Below are 17530 nucleotides of genomic sequence, written 5' to 3' on the forward strand. Positions count from 1 at the left end.
ATACATGCTGAGTGTGGAGTGGGGTGGCAGAAGTAAAGGAGAGGAGTGGTAGACCATTATTTTGGATGATGGGATGCCATTTATACTTTACTGCTCAGGATGTACATGAAGTGGAATTTAACCCACTCCAAGAACCATTTTCTACTTTTGCTTTTTTTCTGCATTACATTATATATTATGATAGTCACTATGTGTACTAGACAACATATTGTTTATATTATTGTATGTTTTTCTAATTAACCTATAGTTTTAAAGCTACATATCCCCAGTATATTAAGCATGTTGCACCAGTTAAATTTTATCATCTTACCCATCCTTAAAATCTTTTGTTGCGAGAATCTATAAATGGAGTTTATGAGACCTTTGGAATGTGCTGGAAATTATATTTGTAGTAAAATTATATCATTTATAGTCATGAGTTTCCTCCTTGCTGTGTGGCCTTATATAAAGTTATTCTATCTGCTTTGAGCCTCCACTTCATCATCTGTAAAATAAGGATAACAGTAATACTAATCTTGTGTGGTTTTTATGAAGATGAGATTAGATGGTGAATTATGTAAAGGACCTAATACATTGTCTAATAACTAATAATAATAATGGTGATAATAGTTTGGGATTTCGTATTTAGCTATGAATTCAGGATACACAGAATGGGTTTGTCATGTTTATAATTAAGTAGTAATATATTCTTCCCTTTAAGCTAATTTAAATTTAATTTTGTATTTGTAAATAGTGACAATTATTTCAGTTTTGAATTTGAGATATCGTTTCTATTCTCTGAAAAGGGCAGCACTTGTGTAACGGCATAAAGGAATAGCAAAAATTTAGATGACCTTTTTGTTTTCCACATTCATATTACAATATACATATTTCTGTAAAAGAATATTATTTTATCAGCTTATGTTGGAAAATGACATGATAGCATGTTTATTCATCTGTTATTTGTAATTAATTAAATATCTATTAGAATATGATATATAATAAATGGTACATTGTTAAGCCAGTACCTTTACCATTTTAAAACTGACTTCACAATATCTCCTAATTGTTGTGTACTATAGTCAATGGATGGAACGTCTTTGTTTTCATATTAAACTATATGTTCATACATTGTATGTAAAGTGAGTATTTAATATATTGAAACATTATTAAAGTTATATTGATACATTCATTAATTTTATTGACTTTTATTATCTTTATTGTCTCCTGATCTGAATACTTTTATTTGTATAAAGATACAATTGCAGGACTCATTAACTTGTTTCTTACAGAAATGTTCTCTTTACTTGTAGGGTATTAATACAAGCCATTAAGCTAGAATTTCTTCTGGCAAAAACAATCCTAACAGATGGCAACTTTTCTCTCTATTAATTTTGGATTGGACATGCACTTTGGCTTGTTTGGTCATGTCATAGTTGTAACATAACAAGAGTCATTCAAGCAAATACAATGATAATATAGCTGTGGACATGTACAGTATGCAAATTTATAGCCTAGCCTATCAAAACTATTTAAAGATTTACATGATTTCCTGTTGTAAATAGGAAGGTTAAGTAATCCATTAAAGCATAAGCTTCATACTAACTTATCTGGTATGTCTTTAAAGGTAATGCCAAATGTATGGCAAATATTTAGTCAGTTGCCTAAGTGTTTTATCTTGATACTTGAATGTTCATAGAAATTAGACTATATTGTTGTATCATTCAGATATCTGGTCATGTTAGAAACAACCTTAATCAGCCCTTTTAAAGCATGTAACTTTTGATTTTTGAACATAGATGTGAGGCAGATAGGCTAATCTCCCAAAAAGCAACTTAAATATATAAGATACAGATTCAAAAGTAAAGCATACCTTTTAATCTCTTCTCCCTATTTTGGAAAAAATAACTCTATCATAATAGATCTGTAGATGTCAAGTCAAAATACATTTGAAATATTTGTCTTTCGGTAATATATTTTTCCCATGCTAACTATTAATTTATTTGTGTCTGCTTCTATAAATACTTAGTATCTTTATATAATATGTTTTTTTCCGAGGATTCCCCTTGTAGTTTGCCCTTTGAGCACTCTTCTACTCATTGCATTCTTTAAAAATAAAAAAATAATAAATTTAAATGGCATCTTTTCAGTTAAACAATTAGCCAGTTACCTTAGATTTGAGCAGCATTTTCCAAAAATGCTACTTAGGAATAATTTATGGAATACCTGGCACTTAGCATTTTGTTGATTCCCTTCTAGATTAAAATTACCAGCAAATAAGTTCCTTTTTATAATAGGGAATCTCAAAATCAGAAGGTAAGAAAAGCAAAACTCATTTTTCGGTATCAATATATTTAATCAAATACTTTACTTGAAAACAAGCTCTTACATATGCTTTATTATGAAATGTGCATTAGTATTAGTCTCCCAGTGCCTTCTAATTGATCTTAATTCACTTCCATTATTTTTTCAAACCTAGTAAATTAATTCATCTTAATTATATATTTTAATACTTTATATATTTTGTACAAATCATCCCATTAAGAGGATGGAGAGAGTTTAAATCAATGTAATAATTTATCTAAGTTATCACTGTTCCCTGTTTAATATTAGGGTACTTTTATATCTTTGATTTATTTTAGAAGTGTTTATAACCCTGTAGAATTGAGGCCAAGTGTACTGTGAGGACCACTGGACATGAAAGATACATTTTGTGATCTTTTCAAAGGGCTCTGTCTGCCCACTTTTGCAATTTGGGTTTTTCAGAGGGAGTTTAATATTTCTTCATATTATTTTTAAAAGCATAACATACTTGGTCATCACATCTTTGTTAGAATTATTTTGGACATTATACACTTTGTCGTTAATTTTATTGTTTATAATTAAAGTCATAATCATTATACTTCTAGAAATATTTGCATTTCTTATTTTATCATTATGTGTGTATGCCTTTAGTGAATATATTATCTTAATGCATTATTTCATTAATTTAATGTGTTTTTTTAAAACAAAATTTGCTTTCTAATTGCAGGTGGCCTGCATGCAGTTTATAAATGCCCTTGTCACTTCTCCTTATGAGCTTGATTTTCGAATACATTTAAGGAATGAATTCCTCCGTTCAGGACTAAAAACAATGTTACCAGTAAGTTGAATGTATACATTTATTATGCTGATGAATTTTAAAATTTTTTTCACTTCCACAAAAGTACTTGAAGCAGAGTAAATAAATGTGCTTTGCTATTTTGTTTTGTAAAGCATTAGACATTTTGTAAGCTTTTTTGTATTCCAGTAATAGCATTCTCTACATACAAATGATGATTCAGAATTCAGCTAATAATGTACCCAGAAGCGATGTGTTTTTGTTTTTTGTTGTTTCCCTCAAGTCAAAAGGGACTTCTTTTCTTTGAATTTTGAATATTGAAAACATGAGACTTTTTTTTTGGAGTTTCAATTTTCATTTAAAATATTCTGCTTTCCTCTTTGATAACCTAGATTGATTTCATTGGTATTCAGGATAAGCATGCATAGAGTTTTGATTAGCATATGCTAGACACATTGCTTAAGAATGTTACTCTTGTTACAAGGCTATAGGAACTTTTCAGATCAAAAACAATTTGTTTCTTAAATTAAATGTGAATATTTGCTGTAATTATGATAGTGTTAAAAACATTTTTGGAATGATTTTGTATGCTGAATCTGAAATAAATGAGCACACTTATTTTTATAAATACAAATACAACTACTGTGGTTTTATATTTTATTAAGTATATTAACTGAAGAGTGACTATTGCAGACTATGGCATTGTTCAAGACAAGTAAAATTCTGCTAGTGTCTTTAAGCTACTCAGAATATACCTGAGAGACAAGAAGTAAAAGTAAGGAAGTGAGAAAAAAGCACTAAGGAGAGAAAAAAACAACAACAACAAATGTCATTGAATGTGCATGTGTGTGCGTGTGTGTGTGTGCCCATGTGTATGACCTAGTCTACCAGAAATACCCAAATTGGGGACATTTCCTGGTGAGGAATCAATATGTAGCATAAATTTGTAACATATGGTGGGATACTTTTAACTGAAACTAGTTGAAACCCATCATAATAAGTTGTGTGATTGGACCTGTTAAATCCATTTTAATAAGATGTATGATTGGGTCCACCTGGTTTTGGAAATTTCTATGTCAATCCCACCTGAAGCAGTTCTTTCATTCTTGACACTTAAAACCAAGGCATTGGTTGCAGAGAATCAAAGCAACATTTTAAGTGACCCATCTAGAGATTAACTGTGCAGTTAACTTAGGCATATTCACCAATTATAGTTAGTGTGACATGTGATTATTCTTGTTTTTTTTTTCACTAATTTTCTTTTCATCCAAAGCCTGTAGCCTTGGATAGCTAAAGATAATCGTATGGTCTTGATTGTAGTTTGCTTTTGAATTTCCTTCTTGTTGGTTTCCATGCTTGTTTTTACTGGGCTGGTTCTCTGTTTATAGTAGCATCTTTGAAGACTTGCTGGCTGCAAGGGCTCTGTAGCATCCTCTACTCGTTTATTAATATGCCATGTTTTCTGCCATAGTTGTTGCTCTTACTTTTCTCTCTTTCATTCCCCTCTATTTATAATTGAACATTCACTTTCTGCTTTATACTACTGAATGGCTAGTCAAGAGAACTGTGACTCTCATTTTAATTTATTTTAGTCCTCATTTTTCAGAAAAGGTATGGTATTGTAGCTCTTGTCCTTAACCTTTTGCACTTTTGTCTGGGTATATTAATCTCTGCTGGGCTCAGTGGCCTCATGTTATTCATTTGGTTACACAGACAGCTAAGATTATGTGTCTGTGTTTCTAAGCTACACTTTTCCATTGGCCATATAGCCCTATATAAAACTTTTTGTGGTACCATGTGCTTCTTAATTTATATATTCTTTTTTAAAATTAAAAATAATTTTTAATTATGGATATAAAATAGTTGTATATATTTGTGTGGTAAAATTTATATTTTGATACAAGAACATGGTGTGTAATGATCAAATCAGGGTGATTGGGATATCCATCACTTCAAGCATTCATCATTTCTTTGTGTTGGGAATATTCTAATCCTACCCTTATAGTTATTTTGTAATACAAATAATTATGAACTATAGTCACTCTATTGTGCTACTGAACACTAGATCTTATTACTTCTATCAAACTGTATTTTTGTATCCATTAACCATACCCTATTTTCCCCCACACCCTACTACCCTTTCTAACCTCTGGTATTCTTAATATATACTTCCAATTAGACTTTTCTTTATCACATCTCTTCAGTATGCCCTGCTTCTCAGATCTCAGTGATTCTTCAGCAAGATAAAAGTGGGAAGAGAAAGTTTTGGAATAGAACCTACAAGGATTCTCATAATTTTTTTTTCCTCTCTAAGACAGTAGAGCTAAATATGATTAAATATGACTCTGATTCTCAACTAAGAGGTTGGGCATGTCCCCCTAAAATCTTACTGTATTGAGGATAGGGCAGACATATTTGGTTGGGAAAAAAAAAATCCTCCGCAGGTATTTCTTTTCCTTTTCCTTTTCCTTTCCATTTCCCTTTTTCTTTTTTTCTCTTTTTCATTTTCCTTTTCCGTTTTCTTTTTCTTCTTTTCTTTCTTTTTTGAGACAGGGTCTTGCTCTGTCACTCAGGCTAGAGTGCAGTGGCACAATCACAGCTCGCTGCAGCCTCAATCTCCTGTGCTCAAGCAATCCTTCCACTGCAGCCTCTCAAGTAGCTGGGAATACAGGTGTGCCACCACACCCAGCTAATTTTTGTGTATATATATGTATATATATATGTGTGTGTATATATGTGTATATATATATGTGTGTGTGTATATATATATATATTTATATATTTTATATGTTTATATTTTTTTTATTTTATATTTATTTTTGAGACAGAGTCTTGCTCTGTCACCAGGCTGGAGTGCAGTGGCGTGATCTTGGCTCACTGCAACCTCTGCCTCCCGGGTTCAAGCGATTCTTGTGCCTCAACCTCCTGAGTAGCTGGGACTACAGGTGCGCGCCATCATGCCCGGCTAATTTTTTTTTTTTTTTTTTTGCATTTTTAGTAGAGATGGGGTTTCACCATGTTGGCCAGGATGGTCTCCATCTCCTGACCTTGTGATCCGCCTGCCTCGGCCTCCCAAACTGCTGGAATTACAGGTGTGAGCCACTGCGCCTGGCCTAATTTTTACATTTTCTATAGAGACAGGGTTTCGCCATGTTGGCCAGGTTGGTCTTGAACTCCTGGCCTCAAATGATCCACCCCAGCCTCCCAAAGTGCTGGGATCGCATATACAAGAGTAGAATCATTATTCAGGCAGATAGACCTTGAGAAGATTAGCGATCATATATTTAGAACCGTAGATTTCACTACTATTGTTTTAGTTTATCACAACTTGGGAGCAGGACAGAATGGTCATGGGTTAACATATACTACATACCTCACATGTCAACTACTATCTAACCTACTAATGAATGAAATATTTAAATTTAAACCACTGGAATTTATAGTAACATTACATATCCTTTACATATGCAGTGAAGCTTAATAATATGGTCATAGATTGTCTTTAAAATCCTTACGTTTTCTTCTATTTATTCTTTTTTTTATATCCAGTTCTAACAAGAATTCCCTAATATTCTAGAATACAGTATATTCAAAGCAGCAAATTAGATGTGACTAGGGCTAATATTAATTGTTGGTACATGGATGAAAAATTATATGTATCTAGAACCAGTATGAGTTGGGAAAAACTAGTTCTTAGTATTTCAGTAATCCTTGAGATCAACACTGTAGTAGAGTGAAACTTTTTTTCATAATAATTATCAGAATCTTCAAGACAACGAATTTTTAAATTATATTCTTTAAAAATTTATTTTCAAGGTTCCTCTCATCCCTATGGTTAAATTTAGATGTTGAAAAATAGTTTGTATTTCATTTATATGGAATTTCACGTCTGATAAATTTGCTTTAGTAATTTAGAATAAATGAGTTGTTACAAACTCTACAGTGAATTTTAAAATAGGATTTTTTTCTGTACTTAATTTACATTGATTTCTTCTGAAATTTTCCCCATTTGCCTTTTATTTAGTTAAATAAATTAAGAAAATATTAGTTAAATCAGATAAGCGAAGGAAAAACATAGTAAGAAATGGTGTTGGTAGGCAGTGGGCATACTTTTATCTCTTTAAAAGTCTGAGAAACTCTTTCTTGTTTTAAAGACTCAATTTTGGTTGTTTGACTGTTAATCAGCAGTGTACTGGCAATGGACTTTGATTTCCTTTGAAGTGCACTATGTTATAGAAAATTACATATTTCAGGAATTCTGCAAAAAATAATTTTAGATCTATACCGCATGTCTTTTTAAAAAATAACAAGCATAGAGTGTTTCACATAATTAATAACAGTGTGTTTCAGTAACTTTGTGATAGTTCACGTTTTAAAATATAAAACTTCAGTGATAGATTTCCATTTACTTTTATAGGATACCCATCTTATTATTTGTACTATGTAAAAATTTTTATTCAGTAAATGATTATTTTATCAAGAATTTATGAATATTTCAAGGCTTGACATTTTGCTGGAAGGAAGTTTCATAAAGATAAACATATATATGTGTATGTATATATGAATATATATTTACAGTAAGTTCTTAGTTAATGTCATTGATAGGATCTTGCGAACTGCACCTTGAATCAAAACCATATACAGTAGGTCCTTGAATAATGTCCTTTCATTATAACATTGATGAGAAAAGAAAATTGGTTTTGCTATACGTATTTTGCTTCAAGTTGCAGTTTCCAAGAACTACTGAGGACAATTAAATGAGGACTGACTTTGATAGGTCTGGAGCATTATTAATAAAGAATATTTATAAAATACTGCATTTACACATGTCTAAATTTTATATTGTGCTATATGTGCTCATATACTATGTATATTGTATAAATAATGTCTGGGCCTAATTAAGAACTAAATTGCACATTTAACCAGTTATTTTCACTGAAAGCATTTTAATTATGCTGACTGATTTTCATGTTTTGTAACGTTCTATGCTAATTAAATGGCAGTACTTAAATTTTTCTGTTTTTCTGAAATATTTGAAAGTGTTTAAGTTTTATGATGAATTTCTGAGAGAGAATATGTGGTGACAAGAATAAGACATACTGTAAAATGCGTGACAGGTTGTTTCTGCAGTGACCAGTGTATTGGGTTTGTCTGGCTTATGTAATTTTCTAAATAGAGTTCAGAAATCACCTGATAATATGACCCAGCAATGTTAGATGATTTTGCATTCTAATAAATTTCTTCATTCCATTTCAAACTGGAAAACTAGAGCTAAAGCAAGTTATTACTAAAAATGAAACCAAATATAAATACATTTACTTGTTATGTTTTATATGAAATTGTGTAGAAACTAATTATTTTCATATGCTCTGCAGGTAAATTTTCAATAAATTATTATGTATGTGAGTGTTAGAAAAAAAAGCATCTAGAAATTGCTGAAATTTGTTTGGCTTCAGTAATAGCCATTACATCTCTATAATAGTTCTATTGAATAAAGATAGAAACAAGAAATGTATCCCATTTTGTTTTATCGACCTAATTTGAAGTACACCATGCTTGCATTTCCTTTTAGAGTTCAAGCTCAGCTCTGAAAATCCTAGTCCCACTTTCGGTATCACCCTTGAGCATCCACAGTTGTGATTATCGATTTGGGTTTTGAAAGCTGCAACTTAATGGACACATATTAAAAGATATTCCAGGTGATATATATTGAGCCCAACAATCTCTAGTGTGGCATGCTTCTAAATTTTTTATACTATTATTATGAAAATTATCAGAGGTTTGTAATGCATGTGCTTATAATGTATTACAAAAACATAACTTTTATGCCCAAGTTGGTATTTTGTGATTTAGCTAAGCAAAAATATAAGGTGGGGGAGGAGGTTAGATGTACAGCTTAATAAAAAGTCCAAACGCCTTTTTGCTTTAAAATCACAAAATAGCTTTTAAAATAAATGTGTTTATACATCTTTTCAAGCCATACTTGGGACTGTTGTGCTTGAATATATCCTTGCATTTGTTCTTCATTAATACAATTGATTTGTATTTGCATTTTTTGCCAGAGGCATATGTGAATGTTCTGACTGCATGAGTTCTTTTGCAATCTTTGATTAGTGTGTTTAGTCAAAATGACAGCATTTAATTTGGGTTGTTAGCAATTAGTTTTTTTCTGTTGTAGAACTGATCGTTAATTTTTTAATGTGAATAATCAAAATGTAGGGCATGGAAAAAATGAAGTGAATGCAATGAGGTCCTTTTATGTTGAAACAGAAAAATTTAGCTACAATTACTTTCAGAAAACCAAGTGCCCGCATAAATATTTGAAATTGCTTCTGTGTTTATAAATGAATAATTGTGTTCTGCCCTTTATTACCTAAATATGCCGTTGTCAAACTGTTATTCATGTGTTAAATTTTATGTTTATATATTAGGATCTAAAAGAAAAAGAGAATGATGAGCTTGATATTCAGTTGAAAGTATTTGATGAAAACAAAGAAGATGACCTAACTGAATTATCACACCGTCTCAATGACATTCGAGCAGAAATGGAATATCCTTTGACAAACCACAAAACAATTTTGTTTGCATTGTGAGAAAGGGATTTGTGGGCGATTTTGTGGAACATTATTAGAGTTCTTGTCTGCCCTCCCAATTTATATCCATTTATTTATATTAGAACCTTACTATGATGCTGTCCTTGAGATTCATGTTGAGGAATTGTCAGGCTGTCTTGATGATTTACACAGAGTGTATTGAAATCTGCACAATGGCTCACAGTATTATAGATATACTCTACTCAGTGGTCTTGAATAAAGAATAGCATAAGGCAATATATCTTACATGTAAGGATTTTTTTGGGGAAAATTTCACTGCGTTCATATGTGACTATAGGTGAAATACTTATTCAGTTTATTAAATCAAGCTTCAGTGACTTAGAGATAAAAAGCAATTCAAATAAATGTCTTATTCTGTATTCAAATATTTGTGTTTCTTAACAATAACAAAAATGTTTAGATGCAATAGAATCTGAATATAGCAAAGCTATGTGGTAGAAGCATCTGAGTCAAATACAGCTAGCATATAACCTTCCGACGGCAGCAATTTTATATAAAATGATTTTAGATCTAAGAGATGGTTGTCACAGCATTGCTGGCCATTTGTTTCGCACCTGTTATGTTTCTTACTTAATGGATTCTGGTGAACCTGGGAAACATGTCAAAACCAAAGTGACCTTTGAGTTGGATTTTTTCTCAATGATGTTTTCTTCCCTTTCCTACTGCTTGCCCCCACTCCCCAAAGCTGGAAGTAATATTCCCCTCCTTGAAATACCCAAAGTACCTTGTTTGTTCTATTTTATTTATGTACACTTCTGTGCCCCTGTGAGATTGAGGGCAGAAATGTTATGTTTAATCTTTTTTCCTTCAATGCATCTATGAAAGTCTTACACATAGGTATTGGATAAATGTGTGTGCAATGAATAACAATGTTATTATTTTAAGGAATAATTTCTAGTAATTTTTATTCATCATTAGTGGTGCCAGTCTACTGTGGCTTCTATAATATTAAATGTTTTTCATATCAATTAATATCTTGCTTTACATAGATTCCTCTTATAATCAAACTTCACCATAAAACTATTTTTGGATGCATTGTGTAGCCATTTAAGGACCTCATGAGACTTTAGCACAACACTCTTATGTGGGGTCTAAGAAGTAAGCCATCGTATGCTTAATTCTACTTTGGAGAAAATGTTGACATTTCAGGTTATTTTAGGATATTGAATTACATCTTGTCTTTTATCTTTATTTTACCTTGGTTTTCCAGGTCCTCACTTTTATTACAAAAATGGATCCATTTGTGAAATCTGATTTCTAGTTTACTAAAAGCATCTAAATTTCTGCAACTCTATATCTTGTCTCTACTTTCCATTTTTTATCAAATAATGAAATACAAATGAATGCAAACAATAATAATTTCAGATTTAGTATTTCATCTGGATAACATAAAACTGATTTTGTGACCTCTTAGCAGTTTACAGCATGCTCATTTGCCTTCTATCTTATGTGGCAGTGAAAATAGAGTAGTAGTGATTTGCATGAATAATATAGGTCCTCTATCACAACTACAGGGAGATCAAAAGGAAACCATTTTCACTGATGGCATTGCTGTTCCAATGGTACCAGCTATAATCTGGACTTTAAAATATGTATAACGGATCATTTAAGATTTTGACAGTCAAATGGTCTTGGACATGCTCTTGAGGTCTGTCTCTCTAGTTAAAAGATCAAAATGATTCCATAGAATCATTACTTTATGCAGATGTTTAAATACTGGATCATAGAGTTGAAGGTTTAAAAACAGTAATGGAAGCAAGATTATAAGTCAATGTTTTAAAAAGTTAAACTCCTTTGTTATGAATGAGACTTCCATCAAGGATCTTTAATATTTTTCCTTTACTTTCTACTGATATGAATGAAGTCTACCATCTTCTATATAATATGCTGAAGGACACTGCTGCTGAAAATTACTTCTTATCTATTCTACAACATTTTTTGCTTATCAGAAATGATTATTATATCAGGTAAGAGGCAGTTCTGAGAGTACTATATTTATAATTTGAATCGGATATTAAAGGAAAATGAACAATGTAGTGGGGCCTAAGCAATATATGCATATGTGTGTGTATGTATATATATATGTATATATATATGTATGTATATATATATATGTATATATATATGTATGTATATATGTATATATATATATGTGTGTGTGTGTGTATATGTGTGTGTGTGTATATACACACACACACACATATACACACACACACACACACAGGGTATAAGAGTTTGACTCTTTAGGTAACATTTTTTTTTTTTTTGAGACGGAGTTTCGCTCTGTCGCCCAGGCTGGAGTGCAGTGGCGCGATCTCGACTCACTGCAAGCTCCGCCTCCCGGGTTCACGCCATTCTCCTGCCTCAGCCTCCCGTGTAGCTGGGACTACAGGCGCGCGCCACCATGCCCGGCTAATTTTTGTATTTTTAGTAGAGACGGGGTTTCACCGTGTTAGCCAGGATGGTCTCGATCTCCTGACCTCGTGATCCGCCCGTCTCGGCCTCCCAAAGTGCTGGGATTACAGGCGTGAGCCACCGCGCCCGGCCCAGGTAACATTTTTTAAAAGGTGTTCATTTTTTAAATTTGGCCAGAAGAGACAGATGCACTTGTAAAAATGGGGTACTCCAGCGACAGGACTTTGGTAGCAATGAACCCAACAGATTGCACTGGCCCTGCAATGAATTTTCTTTGCTAGATAGTGATATCACAGAAAAAGCACTGAAGATTCTGGGATAGAACTTTAAAGGTTTTATCTTGTGCATATTAAGTAAGGTTTTACTGTTATTTCTCTTTTTACAGTATTTATCTACTAATAAATGTGATCTTAACATCTAAGAAAATAAAAGTGCTAATATTTCAGTTTTATGTCTAGTAGTGTCATCCTTCAAAATAAATGAGTATGAAAATAACCATTAAAGTTAAAAGTTTTAGAATCTAGTTAACTGGGAATATATCGGAAAACCACAAAGTTATGAAAAGGCTTCTGAGTGACTGAAATTATCCACAGACTGGTGACCATGATGTTACATTTAACTGTTCAAGAGACTCTTAGTTGTTCTTCATACTCTGATTTGCGTGAAATTCTGACAACCTAGGTTCTTTGATTTCTCAAAACCTGCTTGATTAAATGGAAAAGGAAAGCTACCATGAGGTCAGCACAGTCTCAACAAAAATTACAACTGTAAAGCAGCATAGAGAACTATTATAGTTCAGACCAGTACAGTAATTTGTTGGGCATCGTGACATTACAGAGAGATAAAAAATGTTTAAAATATTAAATTGTGTGCTGTTTTTTAAGCAACAAGGCTGGTTATACGTTAAAAATTATTGTTGTATTTTTAATTAAGTTCTAACAAATTTAAAAGGGGTACTGTGCCCAAAGGTACTCAGTTACCTGGGGAACATCATTTATGTGAAAGTATCCATTTCTCAGCAACTATGAATAAATAAGAAGTTATCCTCATATGGCATGTTTTTCATCCTAAGAACATCCATGTGAGGCAGAAGTGTGACAAGCATTTTATTCCACTTAGGGATGATTAACCTGGCCCCAGCTGTGTTTTCCTTATTTAACCATTGACTAGACTGAGGTTATAATCCAATATTATTTACTCTAGACCCGAAGATGACTTGAAAAAAACCAGATTTGTAATATGTATTACTATTTATTCTTATTCTTGGGACCAGACCCATTACTAAAGACATAGAAGAGCAATTAGAGTCTATTTGGCTTCATTTACAAACTTTTAGTAGGTTGGCTATTTATCAGCACACTATATTTAGGGAAGTTTATATCATAATTTGTCTATAGTCGTACTTCTTACTACTGATTTTTCTCTGTTGAATTTATTATCCTTTGACAAATACTAAATCTTACCCAAATTTTAATGCAAAAGTGCCTTTTAAAAAATTTTGCAGTATGTGAGTGGTCATTTTTAAGGCCAGAATTACGCTGATGGATTACAGAATTAGGATATGTTTTAAAACCTCTGACACTTTAAACAAATTGAAGCAATAGCCATGCATATTAAGTGTGTATGCTTTTATAAAATGGGTCTTTTAAAATGTGTTGCATAAATAGATCCTTGGATAGTCTTGTAATATAAGTGGCTCTGTCCAGTTTTGTAAGCTGTTATAGCTATCTTGACTAAAAGTGCTGTAGTAAATTCAAGACATTGCTTGCCACGTAATGTGAAGAAACTCATCCCTTATTGAAATTGAGAACCTGTGGATGCGTAGAACCATTTCTGTATCCATGAATGTAGGACTAATGGCTCATTTGTTTTTATTAACTTTAGAAACAATAGCATAAGTAAATAGAAAAGGTTGATAAGTATCTTTCAACACAAGCATGAATCCCTGCAAACTAGATTATGAAGTCACTAGATGTAGTTGATTACATCACAATGGGTTTGGTACTGTAACACCCAGACCATCCTTAAGCTTAGGCATGCTTGTCCTAAGAAAGTGTAGTGGCTGCAGGATTTTTTAAAACAACTCCAGAAAAAAGACCTAGTTCTTCTAATATGTTGAATGTTTTCTAAAGCAAATTGATCTGCATGGTTAGAAAGGCATTCATGAGTACTTTCTCTCCTTTTCAGGCCACAATATTATAAAATAATTGAGGAATGTGTTTCACAGATAGTGCTACACTGCAGTGGTATGGATCCAGACTTCAAATACAGGCAAAGATTAGACATCGATTTAACTCATCTGATAGGTATGTATCATAATCCTCATTGTCCTCTGATTGTGTTTTGTGCCTTCTGTATTATAAGCACTTTTTAAGTGAAGAAGTTCAGTAAGAAGCTTCAGTTCTTACTGAACTTCTATTCATATCTGGTAAATCATTGTGTCTCTGGGCACTCAATTGCTGTAATTGTTAATTATAATGATCATGAGAGTTCTGCCTGTGTGATTAGAAATATTAACCTGTTTAATAAGTTCCAACACTCCTGGAGGTAGTTTAAGCTTAGTGTTCCACAAAAACCCATTACATTATTATAGATGAATGCATTACTATTTAGAAACATGACTCTGAAATCTTTTCATTTTATACTGGTACCTTAGTGGTCTTGTAGAAATCATGTATACAATGGGGTCTCATTATAGTTATGTTATTAATGCCCAAGTTTTAGAAAAGAAATACAGGCTCATTTCAATAGCTTGAGACCTTCTAAGGGTATCAAATGGATCAATTTATATTTTCATAGACCTTAGAGTTAGAAAGAATTTGAGGTGATCATATTCATCTCCTTAGATTGCTGAGGAAATGACTTTATATCATCCTAGACTGGTAGTTAGCAGTACTTTTCAGAACAACCTCTGAAGGATGATCTGAACCTTCCCTTGTGAAATGTGCTATGCTATCTAGCCTTATGGCTAAGCAGTCTTATTTATACTTAATTGGAATCACTATTGTTAAGGTTTAAGCATGAACTCATTTGTCTTATATTTAAAGAAAGAAAACAACTATTATATGCCAATTATATATTATTTTTGACTCCACAGCACAAGGCAGATACACAGTAACATTCAAAGATGGATAACTTATTATTTATGTATTATTTCTGTTTTAAATGTAATGCATACTTATTTCAGGCAATCCAGAGACTTACATAAGTGACAAACCACCAATCACATTCGTGATCGCTCCCTTTTCAGCTTGGTACATTTCCTTATATCTCTTTCTCTATGACCTATCTATCTCTCTGTATGCTGATTTTTCTTGGAACTTTATATTATGAGAGTTTTTCCACATTAACCTTCAAAATGTGACTTTTAATGTCTGTATAATATTCCATTTTGTGAAATACCATAGTCGTTGTAACCAGTCCTTTCTTTTTGTGCGTTCATAATTGCTTTTAGATTTTCACAGTTATAAATGAATGTGCTGTCAACATTCTTGTATATAAATGTTTGGCTTTTTCTCACTATTTCCTTAGGATTGATTTCTGTAAGTGAGGGTATGAACTTTCAAAAAGCCAAATGCTTTTCAGAAAGCTTGTGCCAATTTACCCAGAAGTGATTGTGAATTTTAGCCTCATTGCATATTTTTCAATGAGTTTGAAAAACAAGTTTATTTTGCATTTTGTTGAGGGAGTCATAAGGGACTATTTTCAAATATGTATATTAGCTTATAATCCATTATAGACCATAGTTAGGACACATACACTATTGTTGATTTTGATCTTATTAATCTTAAACATGGAGTCATTGTCACCTCTCACATAATAAACTATAGTTTTTTGAAGTATTTTATAGTTGAAAAATAATTGAATACCTATAAAAAATAATAATTTAGTCAAGTAGTATTCAGTATTCAACAGACGTTTGTTTTGTGTACTGTGTACCAGGTACTTATGATTCTTTACTATTAATCAAAAGTGTTGGGTGAGGAGAGACGAACGGATCAGGTGAGAGAGGATAGTCAGCATCATAAACCCATTGTGATGTTATCCACATGTCATCTCTGCGACTGTGAACAAATCATTTAACTTCTCTAGGTTTTAGTTTCCTCAACTTTAAAATTGAATAAGTCACATATATGAGTGGCTCTTAATATTTTATGTTCAAAATCCTTTGTGAGAAGTTGACAAATACTTGGAACTTTGATTAGAACACACATATGTTCATGTACACAAAAAATTATCAGGTGCTTCAAGAACTTCTAGGAAACCCATGGATCTGTATTTCAAGATGACTTGGACCTGAAGAGATTAGTCTCTTGTAATTTAACAATTCTTTGAGTCTGATATCTTTCATAAATCAGATCGTATCAGATCTCTGCCTGAAACTCTCTGATGCCTTTCCATTGAAATTTAAATTCTAAATCATTACCAGCCATGGCTAGGACAGCTTAGATTCGGCTGTTCTTTGACTTCGTCATTTCCTACTTTCCTCCTCAGTTGCTTTAAACAAACAAACAAACAAACCAGCTTTATTGAGGTACATTTGATGTAAGAAAAACTACCCATATTTAAGGTATACAATTTGATAAATTTTGCTATTAATATAGACACTTAAAACCATCATCAAAATCAAGATAATAATCCTGTTACCCCCTAACTGCATTGTCCTTTTAGTTCTTTCTTTCCATGTCTACCACATCTTCCCATCCTGGGATATTACTGATCTCTCTCTTACTAGTTACATTTTATAGTCTCTCTCATTAGTTGCATTTTTTAAAATTTTATAAAAATAGAAACATACAGCATATATACTTTTTGCCTGTCTTCTTGCCTTCAGCATAATTATTTTGAGATTCATTCATGTTGTTGTATTGCATGTATCAATAGTTCATTCCTTTATATTGCTGAGTAGTATTCCAGCTTATGGATATACCATAGTTTGTTTATGTATACACTTGTTGATGGCCATTTAGGTTCTTTCGAGTTTGGGATTACTATAAATAAAACTGCTGTGAATATTCACATAAATTCTGGGTACTGGTATATGTTTTTATTTCTTTTTGATAAATAAGTGTGGAATGGCTAGATACAGAATAGAGTTTATATATACATAAAATAATGAGAGATACAATATTGCCCAAAAGTTGTTTATATTCTGAAGTGTTTGATTTGACCTGAGAAGTTTGAAGTTAGTTTCCTTATGTACATGATACATTTTGCCCCAGATCAGAAGTTAAGTAAAAATCTTTTCATGAAGAAGCCTGAATTATCGAATGTTATTCTGTCTCTCTCTAGCTTTTTTGTAGGACAATTTTGAATCTTGCTAAGACTATTCATATCTTATTAATATTATTAAGGTTACACATGGAGTCTTTGCCACCTCTCCACCCATAATAAACCATAGGATTCTGAAGTGTTTTGTAGT

The 17530-nt window shown here is 32.2% G+C and overlaps 1 protein-coding gene across 2 annotated transcripts in view; it reads left to right on the plus strand.

Annotated features, from left to right (window-relative positions):
- Positions 1-17530, plus strand: part of DIAPH2 (diaphanous related formin 2) — a 920156-nt gene that overhangs the window by 242881 nt on the left and 659745 nt on the right. For both annotated transcript variants that reach the window (NM_006729.5, NM_007309.4), the window contains exons 10-13: positions 3011-3121; positions 9511-9629; positions 11544-11660; positions 14296-14414. In NM_006729.5, coding sequence (NP_006720.1) covers positions 3011-3121; positions 9511-9629; positions 11544-11660; positions 14296-14414 — 466 coding nt within the window. The remainder of the gene's footprint in view (positions 1-3010; positions 3122-9510; positions 9630-11543; positions 11661-14295; positions 14415-17530) is intronic.

Source organism: Homo sapiens, chromosome X, assembly GCF_000001405.40.
Source record: "Homo sapiens chromosome X, GRCh38.p14 Primary Assembly".
In the NCBI taxonomy this organism is placed as follows: Eukaryota; Metazoa; Chordata; class Mammalia; order Primates; family Hominidae; genus Homo; species Homo sapiens.